This window comes from Homo sapiens, chromosome 16 (genome assembly GCF_000001405.40).
Source record: "Homo sapiens chromosome 16, GRCh38.p14 Primary Assembly".
Taxonomy (NCBI): Eukaryota; Metazoa; Chordata; class Mammalia; order Primates; family Hominidae; genus Homo; species Homo sapiens.
The window spans coordinates 14,362,856-14,377,252 of record NC_000016.10 but is presented as its reverse complement, the minus strand read 5'-3'; the positions used below and the strand labels follow the sequence as shown (position 1 = coordinate 14,377,252).

Sequence of the window (14,397 nt, the reverse complement as noted above, 5' to 3'; positions counted from 1 at the left end):
CCTGGAGATCCACCCTCTGAGCTCTGCCGCGTGCCAGTTCCGCTATTGGGAGGAGCTCAGGAGGATGATGAGGATCCCAGAAAGTTCTATGCCCACTGCTTTCATCCTGGCTGTAGCCTGCCAGGAGGGCACTGTTATTATTATGGCCACTTTTTTGGATAAGAAAGTGAGGGCTCAGACATTATAAGACTTGCTGGGGCCTGTAATCCCAGCACTTTGGGAGGTAGAGGTGGGCAGATCACGAGGTCAGGAGTTCGATACTCTCCTGGCCAACATGGTGAAACCCCGTCTCTACTAAAAATACAAAATTAGCCAGGCATGGTGGCGGGTGCCTGTAATCCCAGCTACTCAGGAGGCTGAGGCAGGAGAATTGCTTGAACCTGGGAGATGGAGGCTGCAGTGAGCTGAGATTGTGCCACTGCATTGCAACCTGGGCAACAGAGCAAGACTCCATCTCAAAAAAAAAAAAAAAAAAGACTTGGGGCTGGGCTTGGTGGCTCAGCACTTTGGGAGGTCAAGGCGGGTGAATCACTAGCGGGCAGGAGTTTGAGACCAGCCTGGCCAACATGTCAAAACCCCGTCTCTACTAAAAGAACAAAAATTACCCAGGTGTGGTGGTGCACACCTATAATCCCAGCTACTCCGGAGGCTGAGGCAGGAGAATCGCTTGAACCTGGGAGATGGAGGCTGCAGTGAGTCGAGATCGCACCACTGCACTCCAGCCTGGGCGACAGAGCGAGACTCTGTCTCAACAACAAGAAAAACACTTGCTGGATGTCACACAGCCTCATAGTGACCCACCTGGGATCTGAAGCCAGGTGGCCTGACTCCAGGCTCTGTGACTGTAACCATGAATCTGCACTGCCAATGCCCCTTGTCCCCGAGCTGGTGGGGGCCTGGGGTGCACGTGGCGCTCTCTGCCCTCTGATATTTCAGCCGTAGAGGGGTCTGCCTCTGTTTGAAGAACCTGGGGGTGGAGATTCCATGTTGATGGCAAGAGGCCTCCTTTCTCTGATCCCAGGGGAGAAAAAAAGTGGGAAGGGGGCATACTGCCAGCCGCCTGGCCCCCCTGCCCTGTGCCCCTCACACAGCTGGCACCAACGTCAGTTCATGTTGCCCAAGCCATCTGGCTGATTAACCATGGCTGCCATCCCCAGGAGGCTCCTGGAGCATCAGAATGAGCTTATTACTCGAACAACAGGGCCCCTTCCCTCCTTGGAACTCCTGCCTGCCTCTCTCTGGGGACCTGTCCTCAGAGGGACTGGTGGGGAGGGAGGAATAGCTGGGCAAAGTCCTGCCCACGGCTGCCCCAAGAAGAGGGTACCTACAGCTTGCTTTAGGACAAGGACATGTAGGAAGGCCCCCTGGCCAGGTCATGTGCTCAGGCAGGGTCTGTCTGTCTAGAAGAGTCTCTTTTTTTGAGAGGAAGTCTTGTTCTGCTGCAGTGCAAAAGCTCACTGCAACCTTCGCCTCCCGGGTTCAAGTGATTCTCCTGCCTCAGCCTCCCGAGTAGCTGGGATTACAGGCACGTGCCACCACACCCAGCTAATTTTTATATTTTTAGTAGAGACGGGGTTTCGCCATGTTGGCCAGGCTGGTCTTGAACTTCTGACCCCAAGTGATCCTCCTGTCTTGGCCTCCCAGAGTGCTGGGATTACAGACGTGAGCCACCACACCAGGCTGGGAGTCTTTATTTTTAATTTTTTTTCTATTTCTAATTTTTAATGCATTTCAAACCGGGGTCCTTATTTTTTTGTCTTTTTTTAAACTATAAAGAAACAGGGTCTTGCTATGTTGCCCAGGGCGGTCTTGAACTCTTCGAGTCAAGCAATCCTCCCATCTTGGCCTTCCAAAATGCTGGGATTACGGGTGTGAGGCACCGCGGCTGGCATAACCAGAGTCTTTAGATACCTCTCTGGGCCCTGGGAGGCTGCCTTCATTTCAACAGCTTTAGTGAGACATACTTTACATACCATAAAATTCCCTCATCTGAAGTGTTCAATCCTATGAGTTTTAGTAAATCTATGTCATTTTGCAACCATCACCCCAAACTAATCTTACACATTTCCATCGCTCCAAAAAGAAACCATGTAGCTGGCCAGGCGCAGTGGCTCACGCCTGTAATCCCAGCAGTTTGGGAGGCCAAGGAGGAGCAAAGTCACATCTTACATGGTGGCGGGCACGAGAGAGTGTGTGCATGGGAACTCCCCTTTATAAAAGCATCAGATCTCATGAGACTTATTCACTCTCATGAGAACAGCAGGGGAAAGACCCACCCCCGTGATTCAGTTACCTCTCGCTGGGTTATGGGAGCTACAATTCAAGATGGGATTTGGGTGGAGACACTGACAAACTGTATCATAGGTTCATGCCCAAACACAGAGAGCCTCAGGCTAGGAGCCATCAGATCTCCGGGGCCTTCTTCCCTCCATGACCCCAACCCACCCTAATTCTGGCCATCCGAGCCTGAGCTGCTGCTCTGATGATCCCAGTGTGAGCCCAGAGGCAGCCAGCCCGTTTCCGACTACTGGGAGAACCCCAGGGCTGCTGTCTGTGCCTCCCGCTTTGGGCTTGGGTCCTGTGAACTTGTGACCTCTGCGGGAGAAAATCTCCCAGCAGACGGGGTTGACTGGGGCCTGAGCAGGAGGCCTGACATTGGCTCTGGTGCCTGACATGAGTTGGCTGAGTGTGACAAGAGGCTCCCTGGACAGAAGAAACAGTCATTTCCCAAAGTGCTTTCTGGGAATGATGGAGTTGGAAGCCCTGGGTTCAAATCCCCTCCCTGGCCCTCACTAGGCATTGCTGTTACCTCTCCGCATCTGTTTCCTCTTCTGCAAAGTGGGATGTAATCCATCTCAAAGCATTAGCTGTGGTTAAAGAGAATCAGGCGAGAATCAGGGTGTCACCTCCTCCAGGTCGGGAGAAAATGCTCTCCTATGGATTTCTGCAGCCCCTGTGCGTGGCTGGGGTCCCAGCACTGGTCACACAAGGCTGTCCTTTTCCGTCTCCCCTGGCTGACTTGGCTCCTTGGGAACAGAGAGTGTGCCATATTCACCTCTGTCCCCAGCTCCTCCTTGGGCCTGGTGCAGAGTGGGCGGCAGGGACTGAATAGCTGAAATGACAATCCCTCCTAGGCTGGGCGTGGTGGCTCATGCCTGTAATCCCAACACTCTGGGAAGCCGAGGAGGGAGGATGGCTTGAGGCTTGAGCCCAGGAGTTTAAGACCAGCCCGGGCAATACAGCCAGATCATATCTCTACAAAAATTAGTTGGGTGGGGTTGTACGTGCCTGTAGTCCCAGCTACTCGGGGTGCTGCGGTGGGAGGGTGACTGGAGCCCAGGAGTTCGAGGCTACAGTGAGCTATGATCACGCCACTGCACTCCAGCCTGGACCACAGAGCGAGACCCTGTTTCTGACATATTTAAAAGAAAAAAAATTTCTCCTCCTGCAGTAGCTCTGGGTTTGAGGATTTGGAAAGCTGGGCCTGGGGTCTCAGGACGGGTGGGCTTCTTCCTTGTCTTAGGTGGCCAAGGACAGCACCAGGCTGGGCTCAGGGTTCACGGGGGAAGGCAGGGAGCTGCTGGATGTGAACAGGGTGGGAGGGCTCCGTGCCCGGCTCCTTGCTCTGCTGCCCGTGTTGGGCGTGGGCCTGGAGCCGGCCCTCACGGGGTTCTAGAACAAGGCCAGCCAGTGCCTGACCCTCATTTTCACTGGCTGCTATCGTGGCTTGTCCTGGCTTCCCCAGGCGCGGCTCTCACCCACCCTAGCCCTGGGTGGTCCGTGCCCCTTCCTTGACAGATTCGGTCCCCAGGGGGGCTGCCCTACCCCATGGGATTTGATGTCATGGCCCTTTCATGCTTAAAAGGAGCAAAATCTGGTGGAACGGGGTCCAGCTCAGTGTGTGCGTCCTAGGCCTGGCTGTCCATCTCAAGGAGTTGCAGGTGGCCCAGCCGCCTGTTCCTCTCCTGCACTCAGTGGGTGTCATCCTACTCTGTGTTTCCTGACTTGTAAAGTTTAGGTTAGACACATTAACTGCTAGCAGTCAATCCCCTGCTCCCCAACTCCATACCTGCCTGTGGCAAAATGAGAGCTGTGGAACCTTCCAGAAGGGCAGTGCTCTGCTCCGCTGGAACAGAGATCTGGCTTCCAGTCCAGCCTCACAGTTGCCGAGTGGCTCTTAGCCTTAGCATCTCATCTGTGCTGCTTTCTTGCAAAGATGCAAAAACATGCAGCCTTTTTTTTTGAGACTGAGTCTTGCCCTGTCACCCAGGCTGGAGTGCAGTGGCACGACCTCGGCTCACTGTAACCCTCGCCTCCTGGGTTCAAGCGAGTAGCTTGGATTACAGGCGCACGCCACCATGCCAAGCTAATTTTTGTATTTTTAGTAGAGACGAGGTTTTACCATGTGGCCCAGGCTGGTCTCGAACTCCTGACCTCAAGTGATCTGCCCCCGCTCGACCTCCCAAAGCGTTGGCATTACAGGCATGAGCCACCGTGCCCAGCCAAAAACATGTACTTAAAGCACACTTAGGGCAGTGCCTGGCCCACAGGGGCTCAATCAGTAAGTGGAGCTGCCTGCAGGCAGGGGAGGGGAGGCCCAGGGGAGCCGTTGCCCTCCAAGGCGGCCTTGCACTTCCTTTGTGTGGGGCTGCTGCTGTCAGCTGCCGCCCTCTGGATGGGGGGTGGCAGCGGATGGGAGCAGGACCACCTGCTTCTTGCTGGAGGCCCTGGGATACAGGTGGGGGAGGGTTTCTTTCCATAATTGGCTGAGGAGAATCCCAAGTAGGATTGCCAGATAAAATATAAGACACGAAGTTATCTAGGTAAACAATGAGTAATGTATGCTAAAAAAAAGTTACTTGTTATTGATCTGAAATTCAAACTTACCTGGGCATCCTGTGTTTTTATTTGTGAAATCTGGCAACTCTAGCTCTAAGCTTCGTCCTGATTGGCCAGCCCTGGGCTGAATGACAGGCCTGGGCCACTATGTGGGGGAGCTGGGACTGGTCTAAGCCATCAGGTTAATCCTGAGGGAGGGGGTGGGGTAATGGGTGTCAACTCCTCCTCCCAACCACTGGACTGAAGGGCTGAGGGTTGCCGGGGAGACCACCCTGGTCCCCCACCGTTGGGAAGGCACCAGCTATTGTGTGTCCTTCTCCTGGCCACCCTGGAAGACTTTGACTGGAACACAAAGTCCATAGGCCCAGGCAACAACCGACTCTCAGTCTCTCCTCGTCCCTATTTAACCAGGAGTCTCACCCATTTTGCAGATGGAGGGACTGAGGCAGGGAACCTGGGGAAAAAAGGTGGCCAGCCACTGAACAGCTCATTACGGAGCAGCACCTATTTGGCATCTCTCTCTCTCTCTCTCTTTTTTTCTTTTTTGGAGTTGGAGTCTCACTCTGTGACCTGGAAATGGGTACATGGTTTCTTTTTTCGTTTTTTTGAGACAGAGTCTCCCTCTGTTGCCCAGGCTGGAGTGCAGTGGTACAATCTTGGCTTACTGCAAACTCCACCTCTCAGCTTCAAGTGATTCTCCTGCCTCAGCCTCCTGGGTAGCTGGGATTACAGGTGCGCGCCAATACAAATACAAAAAATGCCCGGCTAATTTTTTTTATTTTTAGTAGAGACGGGGTTTCACCATGTTGGCCAGGCTGGTCTCGAACTCCTGACTTCAGGTGAACTGCCCGCCTCGGCCTTCCAAAGTGCTAGGATTACAGGCGTGAGCCACTGCGCCCGGCCTATTTGGCATCTCTTAATCTGTTTATGCCTGAGATTTTTACAGGGCTGGAACACTGCTGTCACACCCACCAACCAAGAGATATGGTCGCCCGTCACTTCTGTCTTGGTTGTGAAGCATTGTTGCTCTTTATATGGGGCCCAAGATGTGCCGGCAGCTAAATCCCATTAGGGAGGGTCACTCCTGGTCGCACAGAGGCCCAGGCTGCGGAAATGACTGGCCCAGGTGACTTGGTGACTTAGCAGGCAGGCTGAGCTCTAACCTAGGGCTACTGGCTTCTGATCCCAGAGGGGCTCTTTCTAACCACACCAGCCCAGCTGAACTTGACTTCCGAGGTCTCTTCCCAGGGAAGATATGGGGACTTTCAGCTTTGTAACCCCACCCCTGGTACTTACTACACTCAAGCTCGAGGGAATGCACCAGAACCTGCCCCTCCGCCCCCCAACTTTTTCAAAAGACAGGGTCTTGCTGTGTTGCCCAGGCTGATCTTGAACTCCTGGGCTCAAGCAGTCCTCCCACTTCAGTCTCCCGAGTAGCTGGAACTACAGGCATGCGCCACTACGCCCAGCATGGCCCTCTTTTGTGAAAGCCTGGAAGGGGGCCCTCCTGGGTCTGCGGGTTAGGGAGTGACACCCTGAGACCCCCCCCTTCTCAGAAGCTGGACAGGATGAGGCACTAGTACTCCTGGCCAAATGCATGATGATTTTAGGTGGGACACAGGTGAGCCAGGTTTTATTTTTGTGGTTATTTACTTTCTGTAAAGCCTTAGGGGGAAAAAAGTATAAGTAGCCCATCAAACTTGGCTTCACCAGGTCGTGGTAGAGTACTTTCATTTCCAATGAATAATGAATGTCTGTTTGTGAGGCCCTCTTATAAGATTTGTAAGGCAGCTATTAGGTAAGTGAATGTGAAGATAAAATGCGTGGAGATGGCAAATCCTCAGGGATCTGGGAGCCTGGGATGAAATTTGGCAAATGTGGCCTCCGTGGAAGCCGCTGGAAGCCAGAGCCCACAGTTTCCTCCACCCTGAGCTTCCTGGTTACAGCCGCAGGCAAGCTCTGCTGATGGGCTTGGAAAGAGTGACTCCCAGCTGGCCTGCGTCGGAGGTCAGAGTGACCGGGAGCAGGCGCCGTGCCTGCTGCTTGGCGCGCCACGCCCAGCCTGGTCAGCAGCTCCCATGGCCCTCGGTGGCCCATCCCTGTGGCCTGCACATGGCTCAGGGCTCTCCTCCCCAGACCAGGAGTTCCCAGGCTCTGGCTCACTCCCTCTGCCGACATCTGAGGAACCCCCCAAAGCCGGGTCTGCAACACCCCTCCTGAGTCCTCCCCCACTGCCCTGCCACAGCTTCTTGGTGGGACTCTAGGGGGCGAGGGGGTGCAACTGGACACCCATTTCACAGATGCCCCCCCCAGCCAACTGGTACATCTAATGCAGCACAAAGCTCAGACCGCCAAGACTGGGAACGGGGACCCCAGCTCTGCCACCTCCCCTCCATGCCTCACTGAAGCCTTGTGCAGATTGAACAAGCTGAAGTAGAAACGCGCTTGGAGCAGGGTGTGGCATACAGGAAGCACCATGTAAGTGCATGTTCCTGCCGCTGCTGCGGTTAAGCCTCTGGGCTCTTGGCCACCATCATTCCTCATTCTTCATTCACTTGCATTTTGGGAGCATCTCTACTCTAGCTCTAAGGCTCTTTTCTTTTGAGAGAGGGTCACGTCACTGTCAGGCTGGAGTTCAGTAGCACGATCATAGCTCACCGCAGCCTCGAACTCCTGGCCTCAAGCAATTCTCTCGCCTCAGCCTCCCGAGGAGCTAGGATTACAGGTGCACCACCACGCCCAGCTAATTTTTAATTTTTTGGTGGAAATGGGGTCTTGCTATGTTGGGAAGGCTGGTCTTGAACTCCTGGCCGAAAATGATCATCCTGCCTCAGCTTCCCAAAGTGCTGGGATTACAGGCATGAGGCACCGTGCCTGGTCATGTCAGGCTTTGGATGTGTGGAGAGAGCAGGCGCTGTCTGCAGAGGACACAGGCAGGTGGCAGGATGATGTTTCCACCCATCCTCAGCTCCTTCCTCACTCTGGCCTGTGCCCAGCCAGGGTGATGGGGTGGGGTGTCCAGGAGCCCAAGAAATGGGATGGAGACCTTTGCATCAAGCATGTCTGAAAGGAGAATCCGCCCTGGCTGCGAGATGGGAGTCACTGTTGTTAGTGCTTCACTCTGAGGCACCTCTTCTACGGGACGGGTCCCCAGGTAAGGGCCAGGAGGAGAGTCTGGGACACGTGAAGGCCTGGCAGGTCACCCTTGCACCCTGCAAAATGTGCTATCCTTTCACTCAGAATTGTCTGAGACAGGATCCTGCTCTATCACCCAGGCTGGAGTGCAGTGGCATGATCTCGGCTCACTGCAACTTCCACCTACCGGGTTCAAAAGATTCTGGTGCCTCAGCTTCCTAAGTAGCTGGGACTGTAGGTGCTCACCAACATGCCCGGCTAATTTTTGTATTTTTAGTAGGCATGGGGTTTCACCACGTTAGCCAGGCTTGTCTTGAACTCCTGACCTCAAGTGATCCTCCTGCCTCAACCTCCCAAACTGCTGGGATGACAGGCGTGAGCCACTGTGCCCAGCGAGAATCTCTTCTTGATAGCTGATAAGCCTGACCCCTTTCAAGCATCAGGGAGGGCCATGGCCAAGTGTGCGCAGCTGAATGGGTTCCAGTTTTAGAGGTGCCTGGATAGAATTGCCCCTGGGTCCTAGGGGCTCATTCTTCCAGGGGAGAAGGAATGGGAAGGGACCAGGGAAAGTTTCAGGGAGAAAATGTTTGCAAAGGAGTCGGTGTTGGGATAAAGCAGGGAAGGCGTCCCAGGACGGGGGAGCTGGCTGTGCAAAGGCCCTGGGGCATGAAGGAGCCTGTGATATCAGCTCAACTGGGTGGCTTGAAGCCCATCAAGCTCTTATTCTTTACAGATGGGGTAAGGCTGGGGCCAGCTCAGAGATGAGTGAGCTGCCCTGTTGGAGCCCTGGGCACTGTACCTCCCCCCACCCCCACCACCCCAGCTCAAGCCTGGAACATCCCTGGTTTCTGTATGAAGTGTTTCAGTGCCTCACTTTATCTGTAAGGAATGTTATCATCTGGGGGCTACAGAAGAAGAAAAGACCAAGCCTCTTAGGGATTCCTGTGTTCGGTGCCCAGCCAGAAGGGCAGCTCTTCCCCAGGTCTGGGGGTGAAGGTCCCATCCCCTAGAGGCTGGCCCCTGTGAGCAGAGCTGCCCTCATGCCAGCCCCTGCTGACCCCCTGCCTGCCTACGTCCCCCTGGGCAGGCCCATCTCTGGGGCCACCCCAGCAGGGCCATGGGCTGCCCATCTCTCCCTTGAATACCACCACCCTTTTGTTCTTGTGGGGTGTGGCTACCTTTTTTTTTTTTTTTTTTTTTTGAGACGGAGTGTCGCTCTGTCGCCCAGGCTGGAGTGCAGTGGCGCGATCTCGGCTCACTGCAAGCTCCGCCTCCCGGGTTCACGCCATTCTCCTGCCTCAGCCTCCCAAGTAGCTGGGACTACAGGCGCCCGCCACTACGCCCGGCTATTTTTTGTAGTTTTAGTAGAGACGGGGTTTCACCGTTTTAGCCGGGATGGTCTCGATCTCCTGACCTCGTGATCCGCCCGCCTCGGCCTCCCAAAGTGCTGGGATTACAGGCGTGAGCCACCGCGCCCGGCCGTGGCTACCTTTTTACTTCTCTGTGAAGAGATGGTGCTTCAGGGAAGGGAAGGAAAGTCAGGGGTGACCGGGACATGTGGGCACTGATCAGTTCTCACAGCTGCCTGGGTGGCAGGCCTGGCCAGCCCCACGGTATGGAAGAAACTGAGGCTGAGTCACATGGGGTTGAGTGAGGTGGCACTGCTTCTGAAGTTGGTGACTGAGAGTCATCCTCTTTGCCCTGGAGCCCCTGCTGCTGTTCCCTGGCACTGGAGCCCCTTGTGACATTTGATGCTCAGAGGGCCAGGAGCTGTGGTAGGCTGGGCTGGGCACTACCGGCTCGGCTGCCTGGGACTCCCTCTCTGCTACCCACGCTCCCAGCTTGCTGGGTGCAACTGGCCGTTTTTGGTGGGAGCTGTTGTCCTTGGAGGCAAGGGGGTCAGGGGCGGGAGTACCTGGGTGCTTCCAGTCCCTGTCTTTCCTCCAGGAAATCTTTAAATCTGCAGGTAAAGCACATAGTTCAAAGCCACCCCCAGAAAGTGTTATTTTAAATTGTAAAGTATGTTCAGGCCAGGTGCAGTGGTGCGTGCCTGTCATCCCAACATTCTGGGCAGCTGAGGCGGGAGCATGGCTTGAGGCGAGGAGTTTGAGATAAGCCTGGCCAACATCGTGAGATCCCATCTCTACAAAAAATTTTAAAAATTAGTCATGTGTGGTGGCATCTGCCTGTAGACTCAGCTGGTAAGTCTGGTAGCAGGTCTTTAAGTGGAAACAGTTGTTTTCTTTTCTTTTCTTCTTTTTTTTTGAGACAGAGTTTCACTCTTGTTGCCAGCCTGGAGTGCAATAGTGCAATCTCTGCTCACTGCAAACTCCGCCTCGTGGGTTCAAGCGATTCTCCTGCCTCAGCCTCCCAAGTAGCTGGGACTACAGGCACCCGCCACCATGCTCAGCTAATTTTTTGTATTTTTAATGGAGATAGCGGGATTTCACCATGTTGACCAGGCTGATCTCGAACTGCTGACTTCAGGTGATCCACCCTCCTTGGCCTCCCAAAGTGCTGGGATTACAAGCATGAGCCATGCTGCCTTACGTTTTTTTTTTTTACTTTTTGAGACAGAGTCTCACTCTGTTGCCCGGGCTGCAGTACAGTGGTACAATAATGGCTCACTGCAGCCTTGACCTCCTGGGCTCAAGTGATCCTCCCGCCTCAGCCTCCCAGGTAGCTGAGGCTACAGGTACGCACCACCATGTCCAGCTAATTTTTAATTTTTTGTAGAGATAGGGTCCTGCCATGTTGCCCAGGCTGGTCTCAGACTCCTGGTCTTAAGCAATTTGCCTGCCTCAGCCTTCCAAAGTGCTGAGATTGCAGGCGCGAGCCACCATGCCCGCCCCAGATAGCCATTTTCTACCCTGTGTTTCCATCCCAGCAAGTGTTCAAGCTATAAACATGCTTTGGGTTTTTTTGCTTGCTCGTTTTTTAGTTATTTATTTATTTATTTTGAGATGGAGTTTTGCTCTTGTTGGCCAGGCTGGAGTGCAATGGCATGATCTCGGCTCACTGCAACCTCTGCCTCCCGGGTTCAAGCGATTCTCCTGCCTCAGCCTCCCAAGTAGCTGGGTGGCCATCACCACGCCCAGCTAATTTCATATTTTTAGTAGAGACGGGGTTTCACCATGTTGGCCAGGCTGGTGTAATCCCAGCACTTTGGGAGGCCAAGGTGGGCAGATCATGAGGTTAGGAGATCGAGACCATCCTGGCTAACACGGCGAAACCCTGTCTCTACTAAAAATACAAAAAATTAGCTGGGCGTGGTGGCGGGCGCCTGTAGTCCCAGCTACTCAGGAGGCTGAGGCAGGAGAATGGTGTGAACTCAGGAGGTGGAGCTTGCAGTGAGCCAAGATTGCGCCACTGCACTCCAGCCTGGGCGACAGAGCGAGACTCCGTCTCAAAAAAAAAAAAAAAAAAAAAAAAAAAAAAAGAAACAACTCCTGACCTAAGGTGATCCACCCGCCTTGGCCTCCCAAAGTACTGGGATTACAGGCATGAGCCACCGCACCCAGCCTTGTTTTTTTTTTAAATAAAGAGACAGGGTCTTGCTCTGTCACCCAGGCTGGAATGCAGTGACGTGATCACAGCCCACTATACCCTCAAACTCCTGGGCTTGAGCCATCCTCCTCCCTCAGCCTCCCGAGAAGCTGAGTCTGTAGGCAGATGCCACCACATGTGGCTAATTTTTAACATTTTTTGGAGAGGCAGGATCTCATGATGTTGCCCAGGCTTTTCTCAAACTCCTCGCCTCAAGCCATGCTCCCGCCTCAGCTGCCCAAAATGTTGGGATGACAGGCATGCGTCACTGCACCTGGCCTCAACATACTTTAAACTTTAAAATAACACTTTCTGGGGGCGGGTTTGAACTAAGTGCTTTACCTGCAGATGTAAATGGCAGCTCCTCAACCTAATGACTGTGTAACCTCGGGAAAGTTTATCAATCTCTCCGAACCTTAGTTTCTCATCTGGCAAATGGGGGTAGTAACAGCACCATATATTGAAGGATTTAATGCATATAGAGCCCTTAGCGCAGGGCCTGGCACCAAGTTGGCCCCGGGCACGGCCATAGCCACTTCGCCTGACCGTCAAGGCAACCTTGTGAGATTCGTGTTGTCATCAGGCCCATTTTCTAGTTGACAAAACTGAAGCCCCAAGCAAGTAAGTGCTTCCCCCGAGGTTAAGTCATCATTTAAAAATCCTGAAATAATGGCGCCATCAAGGGGTTCAGGTGGAGTGACCACCACAGCCCCTCCCGTCCCCTCACCACACTGAGGGCTCTCGGCCCCCCTGCAGTGACGTCCCCACTCCCAGCCTTCCCTGGCCCAGAAGCCCACTCCTCTCCAGCCCCCGACTCTGGGGCAGCCCAGGGAGCCTGTGCTGCGAATGCCACCTCTTCTTGGGAGCTTTCCCCTCCCTATGACCCTGTCCCATTGTGAGCCATCATAGTCATTACCCAACTCCACCCCACCCAGTTTCCAGGAAGTTCAAAGCAGCCCTGGACCCCTTTCCGCCCTGCCCTGCAGGTGTCCTGACACACATGTGACCTGGCGTGGCCAGATTCCACGAGGGTGTTTAAGCGTTATTTATTTGCTTTACCGCACATGTGGACACACAGCCGTCTGCAAGAATTCCTGGGCTGAGCAGCGTGAGTCAGCGCTCCGGTGCATGCCTGCGTGCGGGTGTCTGGGTGTACGTGAGCCCACCCATGCATATCGGCTTGGTAGAGTTACATCTTCATTATGGAAAATTTCAAAAATGCACAGTGGAGAAGACCGAGCCGCCATTCCGGCATCCCCGCCCTTGCTTCGGCAGCAGAAGCACTTTACCACTCTAGTTTCACCTCTTTGCAGGCTCCCTCTCCGGCCTCTTCCCTCTCTTGGCTGGAGTATTTCAAAGCGAATTGCCGACATCATACCATGCATGTCATTTTTTAAAACTTTAAATTTTGAAATCATAATAGATCCACAGGAAATTGCAGAGATTACCCAGTGGCCCTGTGTACCCCTCACCTATTTCCCCCCAATGGCTACATCTCACATGATCTACAATATCCAATGTCCAATATCATTATCTGTCATATCAAAACTTGGCAATTGACATTGGTATTAATAGAAAGCGCGTGTATAGTTTTTGGTTTTTACTATTTTGAGACAGAGTCTCTCTCTGTCACCCAGGCTGGAGTACAGTGGTGCAATCTCCGCTCACTGCAACCTCTGCCTCCTGGATTCAAGCAATTCTCATGCCTCAGCTTCCAGAGTAGCTGGGATTACAGGCGCCCACAACTACAACCAGCTCATTTTTGTATTTTTTTTTTTGGACAGAGTCTCGCTCTGTCACCCAGGCTGGAGTGCAGTGGCGCAATCTCGGCTCACTGCAAGCTCCGCCTCCCGGGTTCATGCCATTCTCCTGCCTCAGCCTCTCTAGTAGCTGGAACTGCAGGCACCTGCCAACACGCCTGGATAATTTTTTTGTATTTTTAGTAGAGACGGGGTTTCACCGTGTTAGCCAGGATGGTCTTGATCTCCTGACCTCGTGATCTGCCCGCCTCAGCCTCCCAAAGTGCTGGGATTACAGGTGTGAGCCACCACACCTGGCCTCATTTTTGTATTTTTAATAGTTATAGGGTTTCACCATGTTGGCCAGGCTGGCCTTGAACTCCTGGCCTCAAGTGCTCTGCCCACTTTGGCCTCCCAAAGTGCTGGGATTACAGGGGTGAGCCACCGCTCCAACCTGCATGTATAGTTTTATGCTGTTTTGTCTGTGTAGATTCACACAAACCACCATTGCAACAAAAAACAGAATCACCCTATCACCACCAAGATCCCCAGGCAGTCACACTCACCCCATTCCCCCACTGTCCCTGCCCCCCAGCAGCCATTAATCTGGTCTTCATCTCTGTAACTTTGTCATTTGAGAATGCTATAGAAATAGAATCATCCAGGATGTGACTTTTGAGGTTGGCTTTTTTCCCCAGGCAGCATAAACACCCTTGAGATCATCCAAGTAGTGGCGAGTATCGGCAGCTCATTCGTCTTATTGCTCAGTGGTGTTCCGCGGTGTGGAGGGGCCACGGTTTGCTGAACCGGTCGACTATCGAGAGGCATCTGCGCTGTTTCCAATTTGGAGCTGTTATGAATAAAGCTGCTACAGGTTTCCATGTGGACATCAGCTTTCATTTCTCTGGGATAAATGCCCAGGAGTGTGATTGTATAAATGTCTAAGTTTATATTCAGTTTTCAGGAAACAGACAAGCTCTTCTCCAGAGCGGCTGTGCGGGCGGATCATTGTCGGGGAGAGGGGGGCGGAAAGTGAAGTATTTGTTGCTGGGGGCCCAAGGAGCTGGCCCTGGTGACCCTGAGCAGCCCGCGTTCGGCTCACACTACGCAGCACTCACCGTGCCCTGGGTGCTGTGCT

The 14,397-nt window shown here is 53.5% G+C and overlaps 1 long non-coding RNA gene across 1 annotated transcript, besides 4 other annotated features; it reads left to right on the top strand.

Moving 5' to 3' along the window:
- Positions 914–1,414: an enhancer, noted in NCBI's record as "H3K4me1 hESC enhancer chr16:14469696-14470196 (GRCh37/hg19 assembly coordinates)". NCBI's record gives its function as "activates a minimal SCP1, AML or CMV promoter by ChIP-STARR-seq in naive H9 embryonic stem cells {active_cell/tissue: H9 hESC(naive)}" and the evidence as "EXISTENCE:reporter gene assay evidence [ECO:0000049][PMID:30033119]".
- Positions 2,761–2,936: a silencer, noted in NCBI's record as "fragment chr16:14468174-14468349 (GRCh37/hg19 assembly coordinates)". NCBI's record gives its function as "represses an EF-1alpha promoter that drives an FKBP-Casp9 reporter gene in an ReSE screen in HepG2 liver carcinoma cells {active_cell/tissue: HepG2}" and the evidence as "EXISTENCE:reporter gene assay evidence [ECO:0000049][PMID:32094911]".
- Positions 4,014–4,590: an enhancer, noted in NCBI's record as "H3K4me1 hESC enhancer chr16:14466520-14467096 (GRCh37/hg19 assembly coordinates)". NCBI's record gives its function as "activates a minimal SCP1, AML or CMV promoter by ChIP-STARR-seq in primed H9 embryonic stem cells {active_cell/tissue: H9 hESC(primed)}" and the evidence as "EXISTENCE:reporter gene assay evidence [ECO:0000049][PMID:30033119]".
- On the top strand, positions 6,987–14,144 carry LINC02130 (long intergenic non-protein coding RNA 2130). The gene is made up of 2 exons (NR_131191.1): positions 6,987–7,317; positions 13,958–14,144. It is a non-coding gene; the product is annotated as a long intergenic non-protein coding RNA 2130 (long non-coding RNA).
- Positions 12,398–12,899: an enhancer, noted in NCBI's record as "H3K4me1 hESC enhancer chr16:14458211-14458712 (GRCh37/hg19 assembly coordinates)". NCBI's record gives its function as "activates a minimal SCP1, AML or CMV promoter by ChIP-STARR-seq in naive H9 embryonic stem cells {active_cell/tissue: H9 hESC(naive)}" and the evidence as "EXISTENCE:reporter gene assay evidence [ECO:0000049][PMID:30033119]".
- Positions 14,145–14,397: the final 253 nt, after the last annotated feature.